Below are 22326 nucleotides of genomic sequence, written 5' to 3'. Positions count from 1 at the left end.
TAATCTCATTACACTTTTTTCAAGTGTTTGGTATTGGAGATAATGCTTGTCTTTAGGATTGAGAGTGGAGACTCCCAATTTATGATCAAATAATTTAGCATTATGCATTTGGGACATATCATATCCATTTTAGGATGAGAAGACGCTGTTGCTGAGGACTTACTGTTTAAAGTCACAAGAAGGAGCAGACACAAAATGCAGAAGTGAGTTTTCTGGATGCATATGTATATGTGGACCCATAAAGTGTTATGTCTTTTGTTCAACAAAATTTTATTTGGCTTACATATCCTGTTTAGTGTTGTGGATACAATAAGGTTGAGGAGTCACTCCTTTACTCAAAGACTTACAGTAAAATGGGAAAAGTGGAGGTCATCCCCCATTTCATTTCTCTATAACAGTAAAGAAAATTTCAAAAATAAATTTCTAAAAATATGGAATTTATATTCTTATGCAAATTGTGTAATATATAGATTTAAATGTAATTACAAGATGTTTTACCAAAACTACATGATTGAGATAAATTAAAAATTATTTAATAATAGGAGAAATATAACATGTTCACAGATTAAAAGCAATATTTTTAAGATTTAAAATTTTCCTAAATTTACCTATAGATTCAATACACTCTCAACCAACATCTCCCCATTTGCCTGTATTATTAGTAAAGTTCATCTCATACATGAGATACCATCTTGGATAAGAAAAGAAAGAAGTGAAATGAGAAAACTCAGCATTTGAGTGTTGTGCTTAAGTGACTATTTTTGTTATTGCATTGAACTAAGACAACTTGATTTCTTTTTTATTTTTAATTTTTTGTTAATACACAGTCATTGTTATGTATTTACTTGATTTATTGAATACAATTTTTCCCTATCTTGAGGTTCGAGATGCTCAGGAGGAACATCAGGTAACTTGAAGACATAATAAAGAAGTTAACGATTTATTTATACCTCTGAGTATAATGCAGATACATGTAAGACTTCATATAAAGTTCTTAAAACATAGATCTAATTTGCTTATAAAAAGTTGCACCATTTTTAATCTTTTTAATATCAGTGCTCAATTCATCATCATTCTTCATTTTGGGTATTTCTATTATAAAATTTTATTGACTTTAATTTGGGCATGGAAACACTAGAACAATATCATAAATTATATGTCATCATGCATTCCACTATCTCATGAGAAATCGTTAGAAATGAAGTGCAGTGCATAAACAAATTTATTTAATATGTTATTTTCATTTATTTAAGTGTTTAGATCCAGATTAAAATTGATGAATATAAGCAAGAATCCAAGACAAGAATGCAAAGTTTTGACCAATGGATGAACATTGCTAACATTTTAATCTTTATTATTTTGAGATAAAAATCACGTGTTTTAGATTTGTAACCTCCGTAATTTGTAAACAGTCATGTGTGTGTTGATGTCTGTCTATCATTTATCTATATATGTAACTTAACAATAAAACTATAGATAAAAGAACTGAACTTTATATTATCTTTGCAGTAAGTAATATTTTCCTGGTCATTATAGGCTTTATTAGTCCATTTCATACACTATGATTTCACAGTAATATGCAAAAAATATTTCTTAATAAACTACATTATTAATCAGCTATATACCTGAACACAAAGTTTGAGATAAGGACCAAATATAGCCATTTTTAATAAAATAGTCCAAGGCATCACAATATTCTATGTTCTAATGAGAACCATAGCTACTGTGGATTTAAAATTATTTTTAATTGCAAATATAAAGTATTTTTGAAGCTAATTAACTTCTGTTGTTTCCTAGAGACAAGATATCTTATCCCTTTTGCTTAGCAGGTGTGTCTATATCTTAGAGAAGAATTTAGCTGAGGTTGTGTTTGATTAGATTGATTAAATATGCATTTTACTCCATAAAGACAATTTTTATGTGTATTAGTTGGATACCTATTTCTAAAAACATAGAACTTTTCTTTATTTCATGCTGTTTGCTCCTGTATGCCAGGGATTTCAATAGGGAAACTAGCTGTCTTCTTGAAAATGTGAATATATTCCTAAACATGTTCACTACCTCATCTATGATATTTTGCACCGAGTCAATGCATTGCCCATTTCTTTGTGCACAGATTTTTTTTTTTAAATGGAGTTTCGATCCCATGGTGCAGGCTGGAGTGCACTGGTACAATCTCGGCTCACCACAACCTCCACCTCCCAGGTTCAAGCAACTCTCCTGCCTCAGCCTCCCGAGTAGTTGGGATTACAGGCATGTGCCACCACACCCGGCTAATTTTTCTATTTGTAGTAGAGATGGGGTTTCCCCATTTTGGCCATGCTTTTCTCAAACTCCTGACCTCAGGTGATCCACCTGCCTCGGCCTCCCAAAGTGCTAGGATTACAGGCATGAGCCACCGCACCCAGCCAAAAAAAATTCTGTTTTCACATTTAGCTCATACTGTCCATACAGTTTCTCTTCTTCTTGCCTTCTCTACTCAAGAGTTATGTATCTCTTCATCTTTCTGTAAAAATCATTTTAAATCTTTCTTCTTCATCTCCTATGTCATCTCTTCTCTGATAGAAATAATTGTCTTCTGCTGTATTTAATCTCTTTCTCCATTCAACCTTCATACTACTACTATACCTCTGTATCTCATAGCACCATTCACTTTCTATTTTCTAGCATAGTTAATCAACTTTACAAACATTCCTTGAGGGAGGGATATTTAGTTTATTTATTTTTTTCTCCCACAAAACTAATACAATAGTTTATGTGCAATTGGTGCTCAATAAACACTTAAAATGAGTTATTTATTCAGGAGACAGAACACTAATAAATAAGAAATACTAAATAAATTGTTCAACGAATAAATGAAGTTTACTTTCCCTTTAAGCTTTTTAACCAAAGGTCATGGATATATTCTGAGTTCTTAGTTCGAAATACAAGAATCTAGTCTGATTAGATTAGACAAAATAATAATAATAAAGTACATAATCTCACAGAATCTCTGAAAAGGCTAGAGAGCCCTAGTTCCCTTAACAGGAGCAAAGCCTGAGCATACAGCAGATGCTGATATATGGAAAATACCATCCATCTCTACCAACTGCTCAGCACTCATGAGATGCAAAGCAGGATCACAAGTCTCTGTTAATGTCATCCCTTAGGCTGAACACATTTTAGCTAAATTCTACAGAATTAATGTGTGTATCTTCCTAGCACCCACTGTGAATACCTCTCCTTCAAAAATCTATTGCTTGTGAAAAACCAGGTATGTTTAGCAAGTCATGAAACAACTGTAGTCATTCATTAGTGGTCACAGACTCACATTTAAGCATAACTTTAAAGGTGTCATAGACCTGACACTTATTGTTCTGAATCAACATTGATCTCATGAAGATGAACTGGAGGTTGAAAGCCTGCAATTACCCACCAGCTAGGTACACCATTATTAGGAATGGGAATATACTAATTTGTCCCATAAGATATCAGTCTTTCTCTGGGAATTAAAATTAGACTTTTGTCTACACTACACTGGGTTCTGTCTTCCACCGTAAGACAGAGAATTCCAAGGTTTCCATAATGTGAAACCCCCACCCCTTTTTATGATATGACCCTTGAGTAATTACATCAGCAAATATGTAAATGTGTTATGCTGTTCCAACAATTACTCCTGATTTGGTTACAATTATCTATATATCATCTCTACTGTCTTGGTCCTCTTCATCTTACCCACGAATGGCAGCCCTAGCCTCCTACTTGGAGCTTTCACCATCTTTCCCCCTTCCACACTGCAAACTGCCACAGTCAGTCTTCTTAAGCAGTGGTCTGCAAGATGGCTCATCTCGAATAAAAAAGCTTACACAAGCTCTCTACTGCCTATTACACAAAATCTTAACTTTGCTAACTTTGAAGATTCTCTATAATCTAGCCCCATTTTATATCTCCACATCTGCCTCCCAAAATCCACTAACCCATGCTCTTCAGTGACGTCCTGCGGGTCATCTTCTCACAACTCCCAGACTCGTCAGCCTCACTGCCTGTGTTGCTTATAAGGACAGGCTGCCAGGTACACCTGCAAGGCTCCTATACTCTGCCTATCCACTTCTTATTGATGTGTGAAAAACATACCCAGCTCCTCAAAACCTACCCACCTTCACAGAACTTCCCCAAGTGCCACATCCCATCTGGAGCACTTTCTTTTCTTCACCCCAAGATATTAATATTCTGCACTGCAACTGAACAATTCACTGTATATTGACAGTATGCTGCATTGTGTGTGTCTAAGTGTGAGAGAGCTTGCTATCCTCTTGTATTATTTGCTAATTCAGTATGAACTGGGGAGCCACAGTCACTTCTTCACACTGACTTCAATGCTTAACTAAAACTACACTTCTTTCATGTTAACCCAGTAGTCATTCGGAATAATAAATACTCGACTTTCAGAAAACATTACCATTAAGTCCTCCATTAAGTCCTACGATTACAGGAAAAAAAAGGAAGACAAGTGTGAACTTTCCTAAAAAGGGAGATGCACTACACAATAATAACCCCTATGATCACCCACATGGGTTCCTGTGCTTTAAGGGATAAAGCACTACAGATACTTCATCCTGCTGCCTCTTACACATCCCTCAGGACCACCACTAGTAACAGAGGAATAACCAAGGGATAGCTCTTAAGAAGTATAGCTACAGCCCGACCCAAGCCTCTTGAAGTGCGTATTCTGCATCTAGCACTGGAGAAAAGCCTCGCTATTTCTGAGCAACACCCTACAAAATGTCACCCGAGAGGACAACACCCAAAATAGTTTAGATTTGTGGGTCATGAGTCCCAATGAGCCTGGGGAAATTCACATTCCACACTTGAACTCAAACTTACCCCCTTTTCTCCCCATTTCAGTTGCCAACATCCAAACTCGCTGTTGATTGCCAGCTCCTGCTCCTTGCAGCAGCCCAGCATGCTCTCTGCTGGTGCCAAAATACCCTTCCACCAAACCCCGCTAACTTCTGGAACTGTCCTAGAGGGGTAAGGCAAGTCCCGTATTTTGCTTCCTCTGTGCATGTACTTGTTACTCCTTTAAAAACACATATAATACAGCACATTTTAAAAAGGGGCTCTGGGGAGGGACATAATATTCCTATTTTATACCCTATGGGATATAAAATACTGATAGCTTTTAAAAACGGGATTCTCCTTACCCCTACAGGCCCTCTCCTAGCTTCAGAAAGATGCTGTGGTGACTGTGATGCCACCGGCAGAGAGCATGCTGCGGGGGTCACACAAAGCAGGAGTTGGAGATCTGCAACAGGCTTGGGAGTTGTGGACCTAAAAAAGAAAACAGTTTTAAGTTAACGTGCCCAATGCCCCATCATGCCCTGGGGCACGCAGCACACAAGTCGGTATCTGCAAAAACTCTTTAGCAGATGACCTCTGAAACCTCAGATAATTTGTTCTACCACTAAGTTAACCTTTTTGCATTAATCAAAGCTGTTACCTTATTTCAGTGTGAACAAACGTATGACCCTTCTGGCTCCACACTTTAATCCAGGTCCTATCATAAAGCAGTATGGTGTGTGCCCCTCAAAATAACCAAGTTAAGATGTGAGATAGTGCCAAAGCACAGTTAACAGCAACATGCTATGCTTATAATAAAAACAGAAATGCTATGATGTCAGATAAACACAACCGTAAAATGAATCACAAGTGGACAAACTGAGCTTTCAGAAGAGTTTCTAATGACAGAAGCTAGAGACATAAGACATGTACTTAATAAGGAAATAGGGCATTTGGGTGGTGAAAGGCCCTGCCATTTTCTGAAAGTTCAAGTTTAACTGCATAAAGCTGAAGGCAAAGTAAATAGACAAAGGCCCCAAAACAGAGGGAAAAAGACAACATTCACATGAGTTGTAATTTTCTCCAAACGCCCACAAGGTGAGTATAATGAACAGGCACAGACCATAAAGTTCCAGAAAGACATTACTTATTTTTATAGGCAAAACTAGTTTAGTATGTATCACGTCTTTTTTAAAATTAACTTTGAAAACATTTAAAAACCAGGAAGAAAAAGACTATAGAGCAACTTCTGAAAGCTAGCACAGTATACCTCAGATAACAGTTTGCGTATGTTCCTTTTCAAATATTTTAGAGAGCACATAACATTTTTTAAACCAATTTCATGTGGTTTCAAATGAACTAAAAAAATCCATAAAATCCCAATACTTATATAAGAACCTGTCTTACGGTTGTCTAAAAATTACAGGTGAGCAACCTTTTAATATTAAATCATTACTAGGGTGTCCTGTTACATATAATTCCCTTTGAAAAGCAAGAGTAATTAACAACTTTCTGTAAACAAAGATTTTAATATATTTCATTCACTATTTTTGTAAGTCTCTTAAGCTCCCTACACATACACACACACACACACACACACACACACACACACACACAAAACAAATACCAGGAGAATAAGCTAATGTTCAGAATGTTTTATCGTGATCATTTTCTTTTCTTTTACTAAAGATGACCATCTAGAGTACATCCTAGGATCTACATTAAAATTTGTGTGCAGTCAGTCTCTGATTCTCATGGCCTCAGTGATGGTATAGCTGACAGAGTGTCAGTAGCCACAACCTTCTCACCACACACCTTCTCCCCGTCATCACCAACACTGCAAACTCCAAATTAAAGATTCAATTGTGCACTTGAATGTACAGCATATTCAGTATTTTTTGCCAGAAGCATCAAAATAAAAATGGACTTCTGGATAATCTCTTCCACTAGGAATATGACTGCCCAAACCACCTAAATCCTTACATTCAAATTAAGGTTTTAAATCAAAAACACCTGGTAAAGCATTTCCAAACACTTTGGCATTATCTTAAACATGCAAATAGTTCAAGTAATTATTAAAACATTTTATGCATTTTAAAAAGGCATTTTTTTTCAAAACAAGTCATTGTTCTCACATACAAATGAGAAAATGTTGACAGTATCTGTTTCCCTAAGTTTTTTTAGTACTTCTAATAGGTTTTTCTTGGACTACTGAGTTGGTTCTTAATGCAAGCATCCATATATACATACAAATTACAAATTTCCAATTGAAAAGAATTAAGTTTGAACAAGACTTTACCAATATTCTTGCATAGTAGATGGCTGCAAATATCAGATTGTCTCAACCTTTCTTAAGCTCCTTTAAAATTAGAATAGAGTTTTCTGCATTGAAAACAATTTCACGTATAGTTAACAGTTTTAGTAAATAACATTTTCAGAAATATATTTTATGGAAATACATATAATTAAACGAAATTTTTTCAATAGTTTCTTAGAGTCCCTTGACCCAAGTAAATTAGAAGAAAATGAATTATTCAACCTCACAATAGTAGTTAAACACTAAAACTTAAAATCCCAAGTGCCCTACCCTGACTGGCAGCCACAAGTGAAGACAAATTGCTGGGAAGCTCAGAAAATGTGGCCAATAAAATGCTGGAATTATTTATTCCCAAGCCCTCATTTTGATTTCCACTTATGTTAATACCACCCTGTCCATTTAGAGGTTGACATCAGTATCATGCAAAAAGGATGTGGTGGTTCAAAAAACTTTCAATGTCATTACTCTACAATTGTGGCGGGAGGGGAGTATAGATATACAACCTCCTCTGACTCAGTCCACCAAACTCAGGGCTAAAGAATTCCATCTTGCTTGATGCAGTGGCTCATGCCTGTAATCCTGACACTTTGGGAGGTCGAGGTGGGTGGATCACGAGGTCAGGAGTTCAAGACCAGCCTGGCCAACATAGTGAAACCCCGTCTCTACTAAGAATACAAAAACATAGCTGGGGGTGGTGGCAGGTGTCCGTAATTCCAGCTACTTGGGAGGCTGAGGCAGGAGAATCGCTTGAACCCGGAGGCGGAGGTTGGAAAGAGCTGAGATCACGCCACTGAACTCCAGCCTGGGTGACAAGAGGGAAACTCTGTCTCCAAAAAAGAATTCCATCCCGCCTCTTGCCTCGTTAAAGAATTAAACAAAATTAGAAATCGCAAATTTATATGTGAAAAGGCCACTTGGTCCTTGGATATAATAGCTGAAAATACTTGATAATGAACTTCAATGTAAAGTTTTTACTTCATTGTCCGACACTACACAACAAGTCACAAAGGCGTAACTGGGTGATACTGACCTTTTTGTATGGTACAAGCCAAGAAAGTAAAGAGAAGAAGGAGTTATAGAAAGAAATACTCAGTTTTGCAGGCCTACCTTGAAGGACTGTCAAAAACAAAAACAGAAACAAATCATCATAGCGTAAGGCATTTTTCATAACAGTTGGCCTTTTCTGGGAGGTTCACACATATACTAGGCCCTCATTTATCTTTGCTGAAAGTCAGTCCTATGGAAAACCCAAAACAATATAATGATGCCTAAAAAATATTATGACTTAGGCTACATTCATTCAAATTCGTGAAGAAAAGAAGAAACTGAATTTTCCTCAAGTATTTTAAAAGAAATAAAGTTTTATTAGTTCTATACATTACGCACTGCAGGCTAACCAAAGGTAATTGAGTAGACTTCTTTGGCTTGTTTAAGAGAATGTTAATTTGTTGTTGATGCACTGTATCAAACAACTATTACTAAAGTTTTTTAAAAATACTTATCCAGTGAATTTATTCCACTTAAATGTTACTTCATTCAGTATTCACTAAATACTTACTGTGGACAATACAGCCAGCCAATGTGATAAGCACACAATATATACATCAGTGAATAAAAAGCATAAACCTAAGGTACCAACTAAACAACAACATCACAATCAGTGTCACTCTATGGGGCACTGGACACTTTGTAAGTTTGACCTTTTAATCTAAAAACAATCTACTTGGCAAGGTAGGTACTTTATATCCCAACTTCACAGGTAACTAAAGAAAGTTAAGAGGGTTAAGTGTATTTCCCAAGGTCAGGAAAGATGGCAACTGATGGACGGAGTACGTGAACTCAGACAACCTGATGTCGAAGTCCGAGCTCTGAACCTGGGCAATCTACCATCCCTCATCTCAATCCCAGAATAACAGATCCTAAATTCTGAATTAGCCATGTTCAAATTATGTGGACCTTCCTGCCCACCCCCCGCAACCAAAAAAGGGCTCCAATGCAAGATTTACCTCCTTTTAAACGAATGCCCATTCCATGAATGTCCATACAGTACGCCTTCTGTGTTAAGTGGTAACAGCCACGCTGGGATTAAAGAAATGCGGTAGATAATGTGTAAGTCTGATAATTAAGTCACTGTGTGTACACTTGAATGTGTGCACAAAAGGTATGGGTAATTAAGTCGCTATCTGATATCTCCCAGCATCATCTATGGTTCTAATAAGAAAAGAAGACATAATTACTCATCCTCAGTAAGTTTTTATTAAAAAGGAGGAGAAATAGCTTCTTGTTACTTTTAATCCATTTTTAGGAAAATAAATTTGGTGGAGGGTGGGCAATCTCAATGGCAAGTGGAACCTAAGATGAAGTTAATTTCTCTTCAGCCCTTCTGCTGCTGTACTGTCGGGGAAGGCATGAATAAAGGGTAGTGAGTAGCAAACAACTTATGAGTACAGACCAGGAATCAGAGAGAAATTCCAGGTGTTTTTCCTCCAGCTGGTCACATTTGACAATGAAACAATGAGAGGGATATGGTATTAAACGATAAATAACTTGGCCCCCACATTCACAGCAATAATGGAATTGTGCATTCTCCAAGGTAACTAGTAGTATGCATCCTTAGCTATTCCACATTCAGAACTAGCACTTAGAAAGTAGGCTGTTAGGGACACAAATGATACAGCGACATTATCATCTATGTGGAGCCATAACAATATGTCGAGCCCAGCTAACCATCACCTGAAACACTTTAACATCCCTATCACCCCCAACTCTAAGGAATCTCTGTTATCTGGCTTAACTTTAAGGACAATTTTCCAAGTTTTAATAAAACAGCTGAGGAACCAAAATGAATCAATGTTATTAACCCAAAATAGTACTTATAGCTACATATACTACCTAGAAACTCATTTGGTATAAGTAACAGCTGAAACACCTATGTAACTTTAGGAAACCAAAAGCACGTTTTCCTCTACTGTATGAATGACGGCAATGCAAGAATACACACTGAATTTCCATGGAGAATATTACAGGAGTGAGTTTGCTTACTTATCTGTGAATAAAGAAAGGTACTAACTGCTACAAGGAACCACTTACTATACAAGGAACTCCTCAGTGTTATACTGAATGAAAATTACTGTCTCCATGACCTTGTTAGCATTCTCAGACTCCATGATTATTTCCAGATGGCAAATTATTTGTATTATACTTCTTAATGCCTGGGTTTCTATAAAAATATGATTTTATTGTTTTTCATAAACACACAAAAGAAATCATTTCTTTTAGAACTAAAAGTGAATGCCCTTCTTGTCAATCCTATTCAGAATGTTCTCCAAAGAAGACTGACATCCAATAATGCCACAAGTTGTCTGTCACTTAGAATCTAAGATCACTGAGAGAATGAACAATATTTTATACTTCTTCAGTCTCCCTTTAGGTGCTGAGTTCCATAAAGAACACAAAGTAGGTATTCAGTAAATGCCCCTGATTATAGCCCAAAACATTCCTATTTGCACTCTGTGATATAATGCTCCTCAATGATATTGACTTATTCAGAACAAAACCCTCAAAGTAACTAAGTCACATGGTGACCTATAAAAGCTATGGGAGGGCAGCAGAAGGGTTGGAGATGTTAACCTAGGCTCTTTCCATTGCAATTGATGAAGATCCACTCAAGCTAGCCCAGATGAGAGCTCTCTACTCAGAGCGAACAGGATAATCTAAGAATCCTGTGGGAAGAACATCAGTGCAGTGGGACCCAGGGGAGTCAAGGAAGAGACGGCTGTGCACACACTTCCCTTGGCAGTCTGCTGCCCTTCCCACAGCTTCCCTGTCCTCTGCTTTTCCCAGTTTCCTACCCTAGCAAGTGAGCTTGCCTATGTCAGCCCTAACCTTGCTCTTGTCATTCAGGTAATTCTTTTTTTATTTTTAATTTTTACAGATATATTAGGGGTAATTCTTGAATTATCCATTCACCTTTCCCCTCTACTAACTGCCTCAGTCTCTCAGTTTCTCAACTCTAAATTCTAAAAATGAAATTTGGCTCAATTAATCTTTTCATGCCAGGCCACAAGGATCACAGACTGCCATTCCAAATTATTAGTCCTTCAAAAAGCTAAATAAAGACTTTGCCAGCTATTTTACTATATAGTTCAGAAATCTACGGTGCAAAGCGACCTTTTTAATCAACAATACTTCTTTCTCCTGCTTCTAAGTATGCACTGTCCATAATTCTACCCAGCCTCTTCTGCTCACCTGAGCTCCTGCTTTTGACTAGTTGTTCCATAAATACTTTGGTCAGCGCATTTAAACAAAATCAGACATCTCCGTTTGTAAATAAGCCCAATCAAATGAATACTTCCTAAGAGAATGAAAGCTTCCTAATAGAATACATAATTCCTACCTTTAAAACCTCAGCTCAGTTAGGAACTTAGTTGCTTGATACTATCATAGCCTCCACGTACCCTGTGGAAGTACGGGCTCAAAATACACCTACTAGTGTAGGATGGTGGTGTCCCTGTGTGTTTTGATGGTTGAATATTAATAAAGCAGAAGCCATGGACCCTATCCCCGTAGGCAAGATAACCACACAACCTCACAACCTATCATCCACACTCAGACATTTTTGAGAGTGAAAGGGGAGGCTGTTTAATAGTCTGGCAGGACAACAGACAGGGATCAGGACATAGAGGCAGCTGTGTTCTATACCACAGACTCGATTCTAAGGGAATGCAGCAGCAGAGTTGAGAAGACAACCCAGGTCCCCACATAAAACACAAAGACCCTTCTCCTTATCTCATATAGAGCTATTTCATGAAATGTGACCTAAGGCCCTCGGTTCAATAAGCTGCCATTATTCTAGTCTCAGTGACTGGCGGTACATGTCTCCTCCTCCCCACGCCTCACCTCATTAGCTTTTGTTGTCTTTAACATCGTAATCATACCTACTAATGTGTATCATAAAGGGCATTCACCCAGTTATTTTTACAGTGCCCAAACATACTTTATACACAAAATTTCACCACGGCAAAGGGATTCTCATTTATAGTATAAACAATGAAACACGTCTCTCAATTATAACCCCAAACCAACTTTTTATTTTGTGATTATTAAAAAGATAAAATACCTAATTACTCAACATTTCAAAGCTATCGGGTTTTTTTTTCTTTCATTGCTCCACTAGTCATGTTATTTGCTGTGAGCAAAATCAAATTCAATTTCTTCTTCTTTTTAAAATCTCACAGAGAAACAAAGCTTATTTCCTTCTGCTCATCTTTTTCCCTTACAGCTTCAGTAAACTGAAGGAGAAAAAAATCTTGATCATTCTCATCTATTTGATTATCTTTTAATAAGTACAGAGAAGTAAGAAAATAAGACAGTGGAAATAACTATATTTATTCCCAGAGCAAATATTTCATCATCTGTTGTTCTTACACAACAACTATGAGGATGTGCTGAATACAGAACCTCAAACAAAAACATGAGAAACAGCAGTGTGTGATTTAGAAAAAGGTATCTAAACATACTGCACCCTACTTCCCACATATTTTTGTAGATAGCTTTAATGTGTTGTATTAGACCAATACTGACAACAGAAGCTTCAGCTTCTATTGCTGTTAACACCCTGAGCAATTACCGTAACTCAGCAGGAACCTCTGCCCAGAACAGCAACTATCACATTGTAATCAGCATTTCATAAGAGATGCTGTTCAAACAGGAAGGCACCTGTTAATGTGCAAAAACTGTACAAAGGGGGCTCAAGATCTAATAGGTAAAATAAAAATATTTACAATTTTATTTCACAGCTATATATTTTTCATGGTGCACTGATGTTTGGTTTTGTGAAAATCACACACAAAGACAATGGGCAGGAAAAGGGCAGTAGCAGCAGCCACTACCAAAACAAAACTCTTCAGGAATAAGGCTATACCCGTATTTCAGGTGTCAGTGCTGTATCTGTTAAAAAAAAAAAAAAAAACACTTTGGAAGGAAAGATATAATAAGTAGCAAAGACCTCTAAAAATGGTTTTAAAAAATTCATATAGACATAAAAATTGGATAGAAAGCATTTGATTTACAAGATTAAACTGCAAGGCCGCCTTGCAATGCAACCAGGAAAGTTAAAAGTCACCTATCAAGAATAGATCCATCTTATAAGTAAATAGCACATTTGACTTCATCTTAAAACAGTAGGCATGCAATAACTTAAGCAATAACTTTTTAACAAAGAAAAATAATGTGACTTTTTTTTTTTTACTGAATATACTAATTTGGTACTTGGGCCATTAAAAATGATAAAAAACAAAGGAGATGCAGAGAAAGATCTTTTCAAACTACATTTCTTTAGACTGAAATATCACATACAACATAGTCAAAACAAATATTGTCAAATTACAAAGGGTGTTGGAAATAAGAGCATTCACAGATAGTGATACACATCTCTACAAAGCTAAGGAATTAGGAATTCTCTACCCTTAAGAGTACAGACAGTGGTTCACAATCTTCAAAGTACTAGGGTCCCTTGTAAGATCAAAATGTTTCAAAAGACTCCCAAATGATACTACTTCAGTAGTATTTCAAATACCAATTGTTTGAGGAAAATAACAAACAAACAGTGGTTCCTGCCAGGCATGGTAGCTCACGTTTGTAATCCCAGCACTTTGGGAGGCCAAAGCAGGCAAATCACTTGAGGTCAGAAGTTGGAGACGAGCCTGGCCAACATGGTGAAACCCTGTTCTCTGCTAAAAATACAAACCCTGTTCTCTGCTAAAAATACAAAATATAAAAATAACAGCTGGTTGTACTGGCATGCACCTGTAATCCCAGTTACTCGGGAGGCTGAGGCAGGAGAATCACTTGTTTCCGGGAGGCAGAGGCTGCGGTGAGCCAAGACTGCACCACTGCACTCCAGCCTGGGTGACAGAGCAAGACTCTGTCTCAAACAACAACAACAACAACAAATAGTGGTTCTTAACTGTGTATTGCTTTTAAATAAGTGAAATTTTTAAAAATCATAAAAGCATACTGAAAACAGGCTGAAAAATCATTGTCCAGACATGTGAGATCAATTCATTTACATCAAGCTTAGCATGTTTATTTGCAGACCTCTGCCAAATCTCTGCAGACATCCAGGGATCCAAAGCCTAAAGTATGAGAACCACTGGCCCTAAAAAAGCGATTTCATAATGAGGAACATCAACACTTATATATTCAGGAAGAATTTTTAACGAGAAAGTACAGCAGCTATGTCCTCAGTTCTGCAACACATGCACTAAAACTGGAAAGAAAGTACAACAGCTTTACCATGCCCAAGCCAGACTTCTTTCAACCGCTACCCCGGGAAACCCCCACAACAATTTCAACATATACTCCACACCTACCGAAATATTGAAGGAAGTGACAGATTTCCACTGGAAACTATTCTCTGACCCATTTATATTATTTCCCCTACTCATCAATTTACTGAATTTACTTTACTTTAGGCTCTTAACAATGGCTAAGAAGAAACAACCTACTTCAGAAATTCAAGGGACTATCTGAAATTGTCAAAACAGTTACTAAAGGGATAAAAACTTCAGAAATATTGTTTACAATATAAGCATTATGAGAGTAAGTGTTACAAAGCTGAAAAGATGGAACTAGTAACCCTCGTTTCAGTGCTACTGCCACGAGACAGTTAGCACTCAAAAGGTGAACTGGTAACCACGTCAACAGCAATGGAGTAACAATAAGAGATAGCCAATGGAACTGGAAAAAGAGAGAATACAGAGCAGAGCGAACAGCACGTTAAAAATGCTTACCAGTTTGAAGTCTTGAATGCTACAGATGAAATACGGTGTGTTTGGCCTCCGACTCGCGATATACACACAGTCTCTAAAAGAAAAAGAAATTTTAAAACAATGGCATTTACCTTTAAGGAACAAAGACAAGGCCCATAAAGCCACTGCATAAATAAGTGACAAAACATATATCTTTTATCGTAAATTTTTTTCCAAAAGATGATATTAAATTGCAAATATCTTTAGGCTAAAGGAAAACAGCCCTTTGGTTCTTTCTGATTATTTTTCTAATAATTTAAAGAATCTGATGAAGCCTAAATTATTTTCTTCAGAGTCCCTGAAGAAGAAGGGAGGATTCCAAGGGATTATCCATATTCAGATGAAGACATTTAGATAAAAGAAACCGCTTGCTCGAGATCACACATCAAGATGAAATATTGAGTATCTTATTCAGATAGATGCTCACATGTCTTCAAAAAAGAGAAACGTGCTACTATATTTGTAATAAATATTTTGTGAGGAAATAAATGAAATACGCAAAGATGACTAGCTTGAATATGCTACTACAATGACCTTTTCAGCTCATCAAAAAGAGAAAGAAAACTAACCTCTTACAGACAATTTGCCATTACATTGTACCCTAAACACATTTTATTTTCTAATTGTAAACAAAACCAATGCCACTAATCAGAGATGGAATAAAGTAAACCAAATTGCATTTTCTTCAGGGAAGAGGGGTGCTTTCTTAAATTACATTTGACATGGCAGTGGTTGGAAAATAATTTTTGATGCTCTCAATGACTGGAGTGTAAAGCATTGCTTTTTTTTTTGGCTGGTCTCCAACTCCTGGGCTCAAGCAATCCTCCCACCTCAGCCACCCAAAGTGTCAGGATTACAGGCATGAGCCACCATGCTTGGCCAAGGTTGCTTTTTAAAATGCCATGTTAAGACACTTTAATAAAAAGCAATGATTTTAAGGAAAGCAGTGGCTATAGAGAGAGTTAACCTCCTCCTACCCCCATATCACAACCTGAGATCATCATAAAGCTTAGGTCAGGAAAGTCTATGTATTATTTACTGAAAAGTAAAGGCACAGTCAATCAAATCTAGTAACGGTGACCATAATGCCTCATTCATTCATTCATTTTGCATAGAAAGGGCCTCACTATGTTGCCCAGGCTAGTCTCAAACTCTTGGGCTCAAGCTATCCCCCTGCCTTGGCCTCCCAAAGTGCTGATCTACCTAATGCTAAATGACGAGTTAATGGGTGCAGCATACCAACATGGCACATGGATACATATGTAACAAACCTGCACAATGTGCACATGTACCCTAAAACTTAAAGTATAATAATAATAGTAAAAAAAAGAGTTAACATATTTTGTTCCTTTCCCATGATTTAGATGTGCGTACACCCTAAACAAGCAATCTGTGGTAACTCTGAGAGATTCCTCAGTTGCTAAGAAATTCTTACTGCCCAATAGCTGAGTCTAAATCAAAGATAAATACAGACAGTACTGTAACCTACACACATCATTTAATCCTTACAGCAGATTTCTAACTGCTCTAAAACCTCCATTCTGATCAATTTATATCACACAAATACCTTCTCAGTTAATCTTCAACCAAGAAATTGTAGTTGTGAATGCAAATTTGTCTGTATTAAGTTCTAGCACTGACTTTTTTTTGTGGCGGGGGAGGGGTGGAGATAGGATTTTGCTCTGCTGCACAGGCTGGAGTGCTATGATGTGAAAGGGCTTACTGCAGGCTTGCCCTCCTGAGCTCTAGGGATTCTTCTACCTCAGCCTCCTGAGTAGCTGGGACTACGGTCTCATCACACTCCCAGCTAATTTTTTACTGTTTTGTAGAGACACAGTCTCACTATGTTACCCAGGTGGGTCTCCACATTGCTCAAGCAATCCTCCCGCTGCCTCAGCCTCTCAAAGTGCTGGGATTACAGTCATGAGCCACTGCGCTCAGCCCCACTGCCATCTTTTGAAATTTAAAAAACTCCTATGTGGGAGAATGAAAATCTGGAACTTGATGTGAAGTTCAGAACAGTAACAGCATTCCTCAGTAAAATGATTGTTCCAGATTACGGACATAACACAGTGAAGTATTTTCATCTCTTTCTCAGAAAAACATAAAAATGTTAATCTGCTAATTACATCTCATACGAAATTCATGTCACTCTTCACAGTAAAAGTAACTTAAACAAAATGATTTCACCTAGGTTTTACTGTCTTCTGTAAGAAAATATCGTGTTTTTTTTTTTTTTTTTGAGACAGGGTCTTACTCTGTTGCCCAGGCTAGAATGCAGTGGTGCAATCATGGCTCACTACAGCCTCGACCTCCCAGACTCAAGTGATGCTCCTGCCTCAGCCTCCTGAGTGGCTGGGACTTACTCTGTTGCCCAGGCTAGAATGCAGTGGTGCAATCATGGCTCACTACAGCCTCAACCTCCCAGACTCAAGTGATGCTCCTGCCTCAGCCTCCTGAGTAGCTGGGACTACAGGTGTATGCCACCAGGCCCAGCTAATTTGTAAAAATTTTTTGTAGAGATGAGGTCTCACTATGTTGCCCAGGCTGGTCTTGAACTCCTGGGCTCAAGCAATCCTTCTGTCTCCGCCTCCCAAAGTGCTGGGATTACACTGTGCCCAGCCTAAAAAAGGTGTCTTAATACACACAATACATCAAATGAAAAGGAAAGGCTTTGCTAGTGTTCAACAGGTTTTGACTCACTTGTTTCCCTGATCTCATCTAAAAGTTGAGTCTGTCTTTTTTTGAGCAATGCTATAAGCCACAATATACTGGCATGACCATAATACATTTTTGGAAACACCAAGCAGGTTAGATGACTTCTTCTATTATCGTTGATTAGAGAGCCTGAAGCTCAAATTTTTGGAAAAGGAAGTTAGCAGGAGCAATAAATCTCTGATCTTCAGGCCTTTTTTTTTTTTTTTGAGACAGAGACTCGCTCTGTCGCCCAGGCTGGAGTGCAGTGGCGTGACCTCGGCTCACTGCAACCTCCACCTCCTGGGTTCAAGCAATTCTCCTGTCTCAGCCTCCCGAGTAGCTGGGATTAGAGGTGCACACCACCGAGCCCAGCTAATTTTTGTATTTTTAGTAGAGACAGCATTTCATCATGTTGGTCAGGCTGGTCTCGAACTCCTGACCTCAGGTCATCCACCCGCCTCAGCCCCCCAAAGTGCTAGAATTGCAGGCGTGAGCCACCATGCCTGGCCTAAAGGCCATTTTTAAAAAGTACCTCTCTAGAGTCTGGTCGATCCTGTCCCAAGGTAAAATTTCCTGTTTCTAAGAATCTTAAGGTTTACTTGTCTCCACCAAACAGTCAATTCTGCAGGGTCACCACAGTCTCATTTATGATTGAAGCTAAACAATGTTAAAATGAGCAGACTTATCTATAAACCTTAGTGCCTTTGTCCAGTTACCTTCTTATGAAATATTTCTGACAGAAATATGATATCTGTCATTAATTTTAATATTTTAAAATCATTATGAACAATCAATATCTTTGGTTATTTTTCTTTTCTTTGTTTCTGAATTGCCAATTAATAGCCTTTGTTCAGTAGGGTAATCATCTTTTTCTTATTGTAGTAGGGGAACCTCCTATAGAGTAGGGCTTTTAAAACTAATATAGGCAGCAAATATTTTTTCCCACTTCACTTTCTGTCTCTGTTTATAGTGTCTTTTACTTAGAGATTTTAAATTTTATATAATTAAATTTGATGATTTTTATCTTTATGGTATTGTCAGAGACATTTGAACCAGAGAAACTTCATCTTGAATAGGGGCTGGGTAAAATGAGGCTGAGACCTACTGGGCTGCATTCCCAGACGATTAAGGCATTTTAAGTCACTGAATGAGATAGGAGGTTGGCACAAGATACAGGTCATAAAGACCTTGCTGATAAAGCAGGTTGCAGTGAAGAAGCTGGCTAAAACCCACAAAACCAAGATGGCCGTGAGAGTGTCCTCTGCTCATCCTCACTGCTACACTCCCACCAACACCATAACAGTTTACAAACGCCATGGCAAAGTCAGGAAGTTACAACATATGGTCTAAAAAGGGCAGGCATGAATAATCCACCTCTTGTTTAGCATATAAACAAGAAATAACCAAAAAAATGGGCAACCAGCTTCTTTGTCTATGGAGTAGCTATTCTTTTATTCCTTTACTTTCTTAATAAACTTGCTTTCACTTTATGGACTCTCCCTGAACTCTTTATTGCATGAGATCCAAGAACCCTCTCTTGGGGTCTGAATCAGGACCCCTTTCTACTAACGGTATCACACTTGGAAAGGCTTTTCCTATATAAAGATTACAAAATATTCTCTTCTGCTAACTTTTATGGTAAAACACTTTTCTCTTACAAATTGTAATCCAACTGAAATCCATTTGTTTTTGGTATGGCTGAAGGGAAGGATATAATTGCTCAAACAGATAATCAACTGTCCTAATGATCACTTATTGAATAATTATTTCCTCACTGAGATGAAGTCACCTTATACATGTGATTTTTTGGAGGGGCTATGGATTGTGTTCCATAGGCCTCTTTGTTTATTCTTGAGCTAGTGCTTCACTCTTTTAATTGGTACAGTTTCACAGCATATTTTGAAGTCTGTGGGAAAAAGTTTCCTTTCACAAATGGCTATTATAATACAAGAGAGTTCACAAAAGATTATGGCAAAATACCACTCTCCAACAATTTTGCAAAACTAAGTAATTTTCTGCTAGGTTAGAAGTAAATGATTTGTCCTCAGCTGCTGCCTGGTGAGAGGGCAAGCAGAGGAAGAACATATGTAAAATTTAGAATATATTAATAAGGCAGAACCAGCTCAATACTAAACAAATTATAAGGAAACTCATTTGGCCTATAGTCCCATAACTATGTCTTCTCCCAATCTCTTAATTTCTTAATTTCATCAGAGTAACAGTAGAAAATCTCTTAATTTCATCAGAGTAACAGTAGAAAAAGAAAGATTCCAACTTTTGGCTCTATAGTCTATTATTTTTTATTTAGTTTCTTCTTTCAGAAGATCAGTTTTGTACCCTTAGATACGAGGTGAAAAACTGCAGAGGGTCATTCCCCCAATTTTGATGTCCTTCTTTAATTTTTCAGCAATTGCAAAACAGGTCTTTAGTTTGTTCATTCAACAAACTACTAAGGAGCATCATCTAGGTATAAGGTATTTTGTTGGATCCACTATTAAATAACAGTATCTAACCTCAATCTGAACCATCAGATTAGATTAATTGCTCTTCTCTGTGCTCAGAATACCTGTCTGTACTTCTGATGGGCACTTATTATGTTCTGCTGAAATGATCTGTCTCTCTAGTGGCTTGTTAGCTAATTGAAGGTAAGGATACTGTCTTATTCATGTTGTTTCCCTAATACCGAGCATGGTGCCTGGTACACTGGTGCTTTAAAAAAATTAATCTAGTGGAAGTCTACAAGGTGAACTGGAAAGAGGAGAATCTGGAAACAGGAAGGTAAATTGAAAAGCTTGTTCCACTGTTTTGGGCAGGAGGTAATAAAAGTCTGAATTATTGTGGTGGCAGTGGAAATGAAAATGACGGAAAGGATGTGAGAAACATTACTGAATTATTATATAAAGCTAAGTTTAATTAGACATGCATTCACTTACAAGTATTAAGCATGCATATATAACAGGGAGAGTTCTTACTTAGAAAGTCTTTCATGCTAGAGAAAGGAGACAAAAACAAAAACAAAAAAAGAAAAAAGAAAAGAAAACAGCATTAGCAAGAGACTGATTTGTATTATTTCCATCTATAAATGCACTTTTGAAATCAGATGGCTGAACTTCACAGCTGGAGGTGGGGGTGCCATTTAAGAAAAGCAATCAAATTGACTACACAAAGGTGACTTAGCCCTAGTTCACACTTCTTTGTATGCCATGACTCACTAGATTTGAGGCATTAGGGATAGCATCTTTTTAAACTAGAAGTTAGCAAAATGTAAAATGATCAAAAACTGCCCCCAACTCCCCGCCCAACTAACTAGCCAAGCTTGTGTTCTAGGAGTGACTATCACAGACTTTCTATGTGACATTTGGCCTCTCTGGATCTCAACATTCATTCTATTAATTTCCTTCGTTCACAAACTCCCAACCTTGCCCTGAGTGAATGCTGCAACTACAAATATTAAAACTCAGGAGACTTCCTCAGTTTCTCCTAGGTTGCTAGTGAAAGTAGAAGAGTAAGGGAGATGGGAGAAAGTCCCATCCTAGTCCCTAGGATGCTGGTTAAAAAAAAAAAAAGTAGGTACTCTGAGGTCTCAAAAGGAGTTTTATAGATACAACCAGTAAGCTTGGTCATTGTAAACAAATCAAACAACAAAAAGTGCTTATGTCTGTGTTTGACATTTACTTTTTACTGTAGATGACCTTTACCCTCCTATCCCTTCTTTTTTTTTTTTTTTTAAGAACTCTGGCAAATAAAAATTCAATTGATTTAAATGTACTTAATTATTTCCCTTTCTGAAGGGTTAAAGAACCACAAAATCTTCAAGACAGACAAGAGGAGGAAGAGAACCAAAGGTCCAATAATCTACAAAATGGATAATGAATCCTTGAACTTCTGAGAAGTCACTCAATGACACTGCTTTGCACTAAACAGTCCCTGGAAGCCACTGGTTTGTCAAACAACATAGCAGGACAACCCAACACACCACACCCTACAGCTGTCCAGGAGAGGTATACAGTGACAGCACATATGACTAAAGAGGACTGAAAAGAGTCACCTTGATAAACATGACATTTCCTCATGGAATCTCTCTTTAAATCAAGGGTTATACTCATCAGAATAATCCTGCACACTTTTGCAAAATGTACATGTCCTAACCTCAGTACTGGAGATTCTGTTTCAGTAGGTCTAGAATGCAGCTTTCCTATATGTATTTTTAAAAAGTAACCCAGGTGATTCTGCTGTACAGCCCTGGTTAAATACCGCTGGACTAAATGAAGGTTTTTTGAACATGGAGACATGCCCCCATTTGAGGTGGGGGAATCATTAGGACTCATTAAGAAAAGTATATGGTATATTCTCATACATTGAGGTGAGAATCCTGAAAGTTGGAAATCTAAAATTCAGGACAATTCCAGGCATTTTTCCTGTCCCACATTTATATATCTAATCTCCAGTGGCACTTACATGTATACCCCACACTTTCATTGCCTACTTTCTCAACTTACCTGAAGTTTTTTTTTCTTGATATCTTTTTTTTCAAAAAAGAAACTAAATTTTAATCACCTCTCAAGAACTAACACATATACAGGGCTGGGTGCAGTGGCTCACACCTGTAATACCAGCACTCTGGAGGCAGGAGGATCACTTGAGCCCAGGAGTTCAAGACCAGTCTGGGCAACATGGCGGGAC

At 37.5% G+C, this 22326-nt stretch overlaps 1 pseudogene across 1 annotated transcript in view; it reads right to left on the bottom strand.

Moving 5' to 3' along the window:
* Positions 1-720: 720 nt before the first annotated feature.
* The window catches only part of REREP1Y (arginine-glutamic acid dipeptide repeats pseudogene 1 Y-linked), a 41502-nt pseudogene continuing 19896 nt past the window's right edge, over positions 721-22326 (bottom strand). Inside the window, exons 2-3 of the transcript XR_938667.3 lie at positions 14929-15001; positions 721-5310 (exon numbers count right to left, since the gene is read on the bottom strand). The product of XR_938667.3 is annotated as an arginine-glutamic acid dipeptide repeats pseudogene 1 Y-linked (transcript). The remainder of the gene's footprint in view (positions 5311-14928; positions 15002-22326) is intronic.

Source organism: Homo sapiens, chromosome Y (genome assembly GCF_000001405.40).
Source record: "Homo sapiens chromosome Y, GRCh38.p14 Primary Assembly".
NCBI classification, from domain to species: Eukaryota; Metazoa; Chordata; class Mammalia; order Primates; family Hominidae; genus Homo; species Homo sapiens.
This window is presented reverse-complemented; position numbering and strand designations above follow the sequence as displayed.